Here is a 10,395-nt window from a genome sequence, read left to right on the forward strand (position 1 = left end):
AGAGCTGAATTGCTGCTGTTGGAGGGGAGGTGAATGATGCCACTGTGAGTTTCCCCCTCTGTCTTTCCCTCTTTAGCTCTCTATATGCCAGAAATCAGAGGAACAGAGGGAGTTATATGTGGCTCCCCATCTTCATACTCTCCTTGGAATGTCTATTATACAGTATGCCAGGATGAAAATCTATACAATATGTAGAAAAAGGCCAGGATCCCAGGAAATTTATTTGAGTATATTTGTCTGCAGTGCTCCCTTTTGTGACTGAAGATAGATTTTGAACTTCTGGAAGTTCTCAGGAGGGGCCCAAATGTGCAGACACACTGCAGACATCCAGGTCCCTGCCATGGGAAATATGAGCAGATCCAGCTTAAATGAGGCAATATAAAATGAGGAATCTTGATGTCAAAAATAAAAAGAATCCCAGTTGATATTATAAGCACAACCATGAGCTGAATGCATTAACTTTCCAAGGTGTCTTTAGTACTTAAGAATTTTTCTCAGGTTCAGGCATCAGCAGTGACAGATCCATGGTTTGAAGGTGTGAATAATGATGATCAATAACAGTGAACAAAATTCTTTTGGGTCACAAAGTTCCACAAACATCATCCCATATGTGCCTCAGTGAGGTGAACATTATTATTTCCATGTGGAGGGAATAGGATATGTGGTTTCGGAGACTGAGTTAGCCAAAATTTCACAGCTTTAGTTTATAGAAGAGCAAAATGAGATTTGGAATGGGGAGAGGTCTCATACAAAGTCATGCTGTGGGAATGAGTGGTGGAGCTGGGACCAGAAGGTGGATTCATTCCACTAAACCACCTGGTTGGCCCCACATTGCATACCTATAATTCTTCAAGAAGTTGCTGGAAATGGGACAAGTGTGCACAGACAGCTCATTTGGAAGCAAGTCCATGAATTTCACTGCTCATTCTTTGCCAGAATACATTTTGGTGGGCAACTGAGTTTTAAGAGCTTTTTATCAAGCATCCCCACTACTTGACAACCTGCTCAGAAGAAAAATCCCTTTCCAAAGAAGGGAAGTCAGTGAGATGGACCATAATGCCGTAAGCTAGGAGCCCAGAGTTTTCATCCCAAGTCACCAAATCCCAGACAAAGAAAGGTCCCGTTATTCCAAGACATTAATTAATAGGCAAGGATCTTTGGTGGGTCCCAGCAGTATGTATGTATTTGTAAGAGCTCCAGTTGCAGACAGCTGCCCCTCTGAATCCAATGCCAGCCATCCTGAGCATTACAAGTGACAAGAGCCTGGTCACTTGGACTTTGGCATCAACTCACTTAGATAATTCTTTCTCCCACAGTCAGATCTATGGTACCCAGATGACAGAATAATCTACCCTCACTTTGGAAGGCAGGGCACACATTTAGTATGTGTCTAGGAGGAAGCCCAGGGAAGCAGAATAGTGGTGCTAATACAGATACTTTCTAAGCCTTCAACCATCCAGTTGTACCATGGCACTTGCCGAAGGTTGAAATCATCCCTCACCAGAATCACCTGTATTTGTTTTCTATTGCTGAGCAACAAATGACCACAAACAGAACAGCTTAAAACAACATGCATTTATCATTCCACAGTTTCTGTGGGTCTGGAGGCTGAGCATGGTTAACTGGGTTCTCTGCTTCAGGATCTCATCAGGCTGCAATCAAGATGTCAGCCAGACTGCGTTTTCATCTGGAGATTTGACCAGGAATAATCCAAACTTACTTAGATCGTTGACAGAATCAAGTTGCATGTGGTTGTAGGACAGAGGCCCTGAGCTCCTAGATGCCATCCACTGTTCCTTGACATGTGGGTATCTCCATGTTCACCACATGGCTGTTGGCTTCTTCAAGGCCCAGAGAGTGAGACAGTCTAACATTCATAATGTAACTACAGGAGTGACATCCCTTCATCTTTGCCACATTCTACTGGTTAGAAGTGAGTCACAGGCCCTAGTCACATCCAAGGGGAGGGGATTGCACAAAGGCATGAACACCAGGAGATGGGGATCATTTGTACACCACAACACCAATAAGGAAAAAGTCCAGCAATCAGAGCATGCTTTGTGGTCCATAGAGAAGCACTGGCCATTGGATCATATTGCATGTAGTGGATATTTTGAAGCATCATCCAAGAGGATCGGTGATATCCAAGTCATAATAATGAATTCAGAGCTAATGTCCTCAACCCACTGCCTTGACAGCAGCAGAATCATCTACTTGTGAAGCTAAAGGAATATTCCCAATTTATATTGGCCAGACCTGTATTATTTTTAAAAATTTATTCTGCTCGGCACATAGTGCAACTTTCAATTTCTTTCTTTTTCTTTTCTTTTCTTTCTTTCTTCCTTTCTTTTCTTTCTTTCCTTCCTTCCTTCCCTCCCTCCCTCTCTCTCGCTCTCTCTTCTCTTTTTCTTTCCCTCCTTTCTTTCTTTCTTTCTTTCTTTCTTTCTTTCTTTCTCTCTCTCTCTCTTTCTCTCTCTCTCTTTCTTTCTTTCTCTCCTTCCTTCCTTCCTTCCTTCTCTCTCTCTCTCTCTCTTTTTTTGGATGGAGTTTCGCTGTGTTGCCAAGCTGGAGTGCAGTGGAGTGATCTCGGCTCACTGCAACCTCCGCCCCCCAGGTTCAAGCAACTCTCCTGCCTCAGCCTTGTAGCTGGGACTACAGGCGCCTGCCACCATGCCCAGCTAATTTTTGTATTTTTAGTAGAGATGGGGTTTTCACCATGTTGGCCAGGATGGTCTTGATCTCTTGACCTTGTGATCCACGCACCTCAGCCTCTCAAAGTGCTGGGATTACACTGGATTTCTTTCTTTAATTTTAGTACATATTAGCTACTATCTCTTTGAATATTGCCATCTCTTTTTGTTAATCTCTCATTCTGGCACTGGTGTTGGAACTCAAAAATCCGGTTTCCACACTCAGCTCTTTTTCTATACTTTTTATCTCTCAATCCCATTGTACTGGGTCCTGCCATAATTCTTTACTTTAATAGTCAAAATTTATAATTTGCACATCACTGTGCACATTCTGCTCGTCAACGCATCTATGGATTTCTATATTTATGTTTTTTATTCATGAGACTTCTAGTTGATTTTTATAACAATCTGGACATGCTTTATGGCCATGATACTCTTTTGCCTCCCTCTGAAGATATTAAATATATTTATGTAAATGTTCTGTCGTGTTTGCCCTATCAACTCTATTTTCTTGGGTTTTAGGTTTTTTCATTTCTTGATTTTGCTATATTTTTCCTGGTTTGGATTTTTATCAAAATTTTAGTGATTGTGTGTTCATGAAAATAGAGGGGAATTGTGGAGGTGTCAACCATCCTGCCTTCTGCCTTAGGTATGACGCCTTAATAATGACTCTGTTAATTACCCCTAGGCCACCTCTTGCTCCCAAATTCCACCCACTCTCAGTAGGAAGCACCAGTATTTCTGAGGCAGAATTCCCAGCTAGGTCCTGGACTGTGGGTTCCTTCTAAGCTTCCCGTCTACTTTCTATCTTTCAGCTCAGTTTTGGGTCCAGTCTAGTGCCTCTTCTTATTTTCAAGCGTGGCTATGTTATTGTATACCTTGATTCAGGGAACAAAGTAAGTGCTTGCTGAACCTACCATCATGTAAGCAAGGTCCTTGATGCTTAATCCATCACCAGGAAAACCAGGTTGTTAGTCATGAAAACCAGATCTTTGATGCTCTCTTGTGACCTAAGAGCACATAAAAATGCTGGCTTGGAGTGAGAAGGCCAAGGTTCTAATCTAGAAGGACAATTTATGTGCTGTGTGATCTTGGGCAAGTGTCTTGCCTCTCTGAATCTTAAAAATTAGAAGTTTGAAATAAGAATTGGCTCAGTCCTCACCTAGCTTGGGCTTTCTAAAGTTCTGCTTATCACATCCACAACATAATCCAATGGAATGATTTTTGTACCAGCTCAAAACATAGACTTCAACAAATGATATCATGACAGACTTTCACTTCACAAGAATTGGCTTCTCAATCTTTGTCAGGTCTCCTCCGCAAAATGGATAGTGCCCTGGGAAAAATAAAATACCCTAAAAATAATTTTTATTTATTCCTTCCATTCTTTGTTTTCTGTGTTTGATTCCATAAACAATTCTCCAATGATTTTTACTCACTTGAAAAGCTATATATATATATATTTTTTTTTGAGATGGAATCTTGCTCCGTTGCCCAGGCTGGAATACAGTGGTGCAATCTCAGCTCACTGCAAGCTCTGCCTCCCAGGTTCATGCCATTCTCCTGCCTTAGCCTCCTCAGTAGCTGGAATTACAGGCACCTGCCATCACGCCTGGCTAATTTTTGTATTTTTAGTAGAGATGGGATTTCCCCATGTTGCCCAGGCTGTTCTCGAACTCCTGACCTCAGGTGATCCACCTGCCTTGGCCTCCCAAAGTGCTGGGATTACAGGCGTGAGACGCCGTGCCTGGCCAAAAAGCTATATTTATATATTGCCTTCATTATATGTTTAAGCCAGTAGAGGCAGGGATAGTATTGTATTTTGCATTTATATTTGTAACCTTAGCTCCTAGCACAGGTCCTGGTATACAGGAGGCACAAGAAATGTTAATGAAATAGAAGGACGGATAGATTAAAATTCTAAATCACCTGGCTTTTAAAGTTTTCCAAGAAAATAATATCTTCCTGGAAAATAGTACCTTTCTCTTCCAATTACAAGCTGAGGATATGTTGCTGAGGATATTTGGTTGAGTTTTTCCACCAGCTGTTTATTGAGAAGCTCAGGAACTGAGCTGTGCTATAATCGTTCCGTGCTGCAGATGTAAAAGGCAAAGAAATGTGGCAGCCACCAAATTTTGCTGGAGAATTGTTCTCAGCTGGCACAGTTCTTGATCAACCACTTGTTCCCAACTCTTGAGGAACAGGAAACAAGTTGTTAGGATACCTGTCAAAATCTCTGTTCATGGATGTTCAGAACGATAGTTTAATGGCACAATCCACACCTTTGCTCCAACTCAGAGTCTCCACTGCAGATGGGCACTGTTCTTTTTTGCCTCGAGGTAGATGGGAAGCAGCATCTTCTCTGCCTCTTCTGGTTCTGTAGCTCATTACCTAAAGCTCATTAAACCTATAGCAAAACTTTTTTTCTTTTAATATTAACCACCCATCTATCGTAGGCCCTGAGGTAGGACACAAAGACCCCACTTCCAGCTAGGTTCAGGAAGAAACTTCCTCTCCCTGTTATAGGGCAAGGGCGAGAATGCAGAGACACAGCAAGGAGGGTCTGCCTACTGGTCAACCTGAGGCCTCCCACCCCAGTATTATCATAAAGTCTAAAGCTCCTTGTGTTAGTTACCCGCTGCCATGTAACGAACTACCCCAGAACTTAGCCACAGCTTAAACCCGACTTAAAACAAACATTTGTTAACTCAGGGTTTCTGCGGGTCAGGAATCTAGGCATAGCTTAGCTCAGTGACTCTCATGAGGCTGTAACCGAGAAGTTGGACTTGGCTGCAGTCTCAGCTGAAGGCTCACTTTGGGAAGAACTCACTTCCAAGCTCACTCAGGTAGAATAATGGCAAGATTCCATTTCTTGCAGGCTGTCAGACTGCGGACCTCTTGCTGGCTGTTGGTCAGAGGCCACCCTCAGTTCCCTGCCACCTGGGCCTCTCCACAGGGCACCTCACAACACAGTGGCTGGCTTCACCACTGTGAGCAAGTGAGAAGAGCCAGAGAGAGTGCAAGCAAGGCAGGAGTCACAGTCTTTTTTTTTTTTTTTCTGGTAACTGAACCTTGGAAGTGACATCACATCACTTTTATCATATTGTATTTGTTAGAAGCGCATCACTAGGTCCAGCCCACATGCAGGTGAGGGGATTACACAAGGGCATGAATCCTGGGAGGCAGGAAACCTGTGGAGCGATTTTCATGGCTGCCTACTATATTCCCATGGAGGGCCTTCTACACTAGAGTCACAGCCATCATTGTTGCCACACACACTTACCCTTGCCCCTGCACATACTACATTGCAGACTTCAGCATACTCAGCAAAGTCTTTCCAGGCCTGTAGGCTGGCTGGCCTTCTGCCTACATCATTATTGTGGCAGAGAGATCACTTCCTACGCTTTCTTTCCTTATAACTGTGCTCATCCCTTCTTTATGCCAAGGAGAATGCTCCTGGTCCCCACATTCAGCCTGGTAGGGAAAAAGCAAAGCAGGAAAACTCCACCCAGGCCTCCCATCGGGGTGCCCCCCTCTATGGGTCCATCCACCAAACCTGCTCTTAGCACAATCCATTCTCCCCGGTTACACCCAGACTTCCCCTGTTCCGTGGCCACATTAACCTCCATCAGATAATTAAGGGCTTGGCTTTCCATGAGAGACCTTAAATGTCACCTTTCTGCCACCCGATATGTCTCTGAATGACAGACTCTAATGAGATATTCAAATATAGAAAACTGAACGACTCTTTGCTTTCTCATCGTGGCATTTATTCAGCTGGAGTGATCTGACTACACCACTACATTACTTATAATTTCTACCTGATCTTGGTGGTGGAGTGTAATCTTTAAGGAAACTATCCGTTTAATCTCTCTTGCCTTATTAGCATTTAATTACTATGACAAATTTCCAGACGTACAAGGGATGTTAGGATTATAATTCAATTTTCCCCTCAAATGGCCCAGTAACCAAGGGCAGTGGAGCCATTTCTGGCACTGTCAAGTTCTGATCAAGGAAGTTGCCTGGACCTGGTGCAGGCTCCTGCCTGTCTGAGTGCTGAGCAGGGCTTATCCCAACCTCAGCTCCCCAGCTAATGGCAGAGCCTTCTGCCAGCCAGGACCCCTCACTCGTTCTCATTCTCTCTCTCTCTCTCTGTCTCTCTTTCAGTGGGCTGAGCCTTTTTACCCTGCTCAGGGTCAGGCCGAGGCCTGAGGCCAAGAAGAGGGTGTTTTATACACAGGAAGGGAGCAAATTCTCAGCTCTGAGAGCTGCATTGGCCAGTGGACGCCATAAGCCAACTGTTCTATGCAGATTTTCAGTCATTGAAGGACAGCAGATGGAAATAAGCCAGAGCCACCTTCAACTACTTTCACTCGTTTAAAAAGCCACATTCTGCTCTGTGTCACTGCTATTTTTCTGGGTCCCATTTTGACACCTCTTGCTTCTCTGAATCCCATAAATCACTGAGAAAGTCCTTCTTAGGGTCACCAGTCCTTCGATGTGGAGAATGAAGCAATTCCAAAGGGACCCTGCCTGGGGTCTGGGGAACTCGGGCTCTACAACTGACCCTACCTCTAACTGGCCATGCATCTTTGGAAGACTCTTATCATTTTCCCTGAGAACTATCACTCAAACAGGGCAGTAGAGCTGACATCTGGGTTTGACTTCATGACCTTGTCTCCTTGGCCAGAGCTCACGGGACTGCTGGGGCCCCTGACCAGAGCTGGGCAATTGGATTCTCCTTTTGGTCACTTGGGCTTGGGCCTGGGAGACCCCTGTCTGTCTGCTAGCTGCGCAAAATGAAGACACAGGAATGTGGGGCCCATGGAGCATAGATGTGGGCACGCAGACGATCGCTGCAAAGAGACCAATGAATGGCATCATTGTGCTGAGAGATGGAGATCTGAGAAGAAAATAACCCAGAGAGAGGCTGAAATAGGATCTGTTCAAGTGAATATTAAAATGGTAACCAATACCCAAGACAAAAATTGTGCACCTAATCAAATCAGTTCTTTCATTTGTCTGCATTGCCTTCTTCTCCCTTTTCCTGCTAATTTTTTACCTGTATGAATGCATGATGTAATAGATAGAACCTTTTCTTTTTTATTTAACATTATATCATGAATATTTTTCCATTTTTCTGTAGTCTTTTTTTTTTTTTTTTTTTTTTGAGGCAGGGTCTTGCTTTGCCACCCAGGCTGGAGTGCAGTGGTGCGATCTTGGCTCGCTGCAACCTCCACCTTCTGGGCTCAGGTGATCCTCTTTCTCAGCCTCCCGACTAGCTGGGACTGCAGGCGTGTGCCAACACTCCCAGCTAATTTTTTTTTTTGAGATGGAATCTTGCTTTGTCGCCCAGGCTGGAGTGCAGTGGCCGGATCTTGGCTCATTGCAACCTCCGCCTCCCAGGTTCAAGTGATTCTCTTGCTTCGGTCTCCCAAGTAGCTGGGATTATAGGCATGGACTGCCATGCCCAGCTAATTTTCATATTTTTAGTAGAGATGGGGTTTCACCATGTCGGCCAGGCTGGTCTCAAACTCCCGACCACAGGTGACCTGCCCACCTCGGCCTCCCAAAGTGCTGGGATTACAGGCGTGAGCCACTGCCCCTAGCCAAATTTTGGCATTTTTAGTACAGACCATGTTGGCCAGGCTAGTCTCAAACTCCTGACCTCAACTGATCCTCCCACCTCAGCCTCCCAAAGTGCTGGTGTTACAGGTGTGAGCCACTGTGCCCGGCCTATAGTTTTTGTATCTTATTTTTCCCCAATTCTTCTCCTTTTCCTACTTTCCCGTTCAGCCCCCTGATATAGTAACCAGTGACAGCCTGGTAGTATCCATTCACACCATTATCACACCATTCACATATAAATATATAAAAGCGTATGTGTATATATCTATATTTCTGTCTGTGTCTATATGTCTATAGATATAGATATAAAAATTTGGGGGCCATCATTTGTTTTTGCAAAAATGTAATAAAATGATTTTTCTGTGTTTTCTATTCAATTTGCCCTTAAATGATGCAAAACGTTCATTCCTTTGAAGGCAAATCTAATATTCTCTAGTTGGGAATCTCCAGAATGAGGTGTATACACTGTACCGGCACAAGGAAAACATATGAAAAATTTTATCTCTATTTATTTTGATCTCTTCTCTTTAAAATTTCTATTTTCTGTTTGTTTATCCTACACTTAAGGTATTCACACATGCAAATAAATATCCATCTTTTGGAAGTGCATGCTATCATCAAATGAGCAATCAGAAATGCTTAGAGACCACTAGTCTACAGAATCAGGGAACAACTTATTCACACATTTCCCTTTTGATGGATATCCAGGCTGTTCTTAGACGCTGCAGCAGGTACCACTACAAACTATGCTTTGACAAGCATTACTCTACACAGATATTTACATACTAGTGCTTTTTTATTTTTATTTATTTTATTTTTTTTGAGATGGAGTCTCGCTCTGTCGCCCAGGCTGGAGTGCAGTGGCGTGATCTCCACTCACTGCAACCTCCGCCTCCTGGATTCAAGCGATTCTCCTGCCTAGGCCTCCTGAGTAGCTGGGATTACAGGCACCCGCCAGCATGCCTGGCTAATTTCTGTATTTTTAGTAGAGACGGGGTTTCACCATATCAGGCTGGTCTCGAACTCCTGGCCTCGTGATCTGTCTGCCTTGGCCTCCCAAAGTGCTGGGATTGCAGACATGAGCCACCATGTCCGGCCGTGCTTTTTGTTCTATAGGACAGATTCCCAGAAGTACAATTCCTGATTCAAAGGGTTTGTCTAGTTTTAATTTTAACTGATATGGGTGGTCTGCTCTCCACATTGTCTGTAGCAATTCATGTCCCCGCCACCAGCAATGTATGAAACACTTATTTCCTGCATCTGTAAAGATTTTAAGAGTTATTACTCTTTTCAACTTTTGCCAATCTGATCAGAGGGGTGAGAAATGGCGTTCAGGCCACCTTCATGTATAAGCAAAGGCATCGGATCAGACAACCTCTAGGATTGTTCTAGCTCAAGTGTCCATATTTCTCAAATTATTTTTTTTCATAACTTATCTGTTAGCAGGTGTGTGCTTAGCCCCCATTCACTGACTGTTTGCAAATCCCAGAGACATCTTTGAAAAAATTGCCAGAAACCAACACATCAAGAACTGGAAAGAAAGAAAGTTGAATAGAGTCCAGAAAATCATCTTGCCAATACTGTTTAGCTTGTAAAAACCATCTAAGCCAAATCCCTGCGATTTCATCCAGAACAAATAATAAAAAAGCAGTGTGTAATATTTCTAAGATGAGCATATTCATAGTAAATATTTTAAGATCCATGGCTGCACAAAATGCATTTTCCTTGGAGGTTCACTTTTCAAATGGCTTCGTATTAAAAGTGCCATTTCAACAAATATTCATGGGGAAATTCATCGATGTGTTTTACCATTTATAGCTAAAATTTCAAAGGACTTAGGAAAAAAAGGTATGATGCATATCCTACCCTCTTCGGAGAAGTGGTGAAAAATACGTGCTATGCTTTGGTTTTCTCTGACTGTAAAACTCCCAGGCAAGTATCTACACTTTTCATTCCCACTCTTCTCTGGCTATTCCTGGGGTGGATGGCAGCCTGGTCAGAGGACAATCAGCAAGGACTAAGGGAGGAAGGGGAAGTGAGAGGTTAGGAAAGCCTAGGCGCCAAGCCTCTCCAAAGT

The sequence above is a fragment of the Homo sapiens genome, chromosome 17 (genome assembly GCF_000001405.40).
Source record: "Homo sapiens chromosome 17, GRCh38.p14 Primary Assembly".
NCBI lineage: Eukaryota > Metazoa > Chordata > Mammalia > Primates > Hominidae > Homo > Homo sapiens.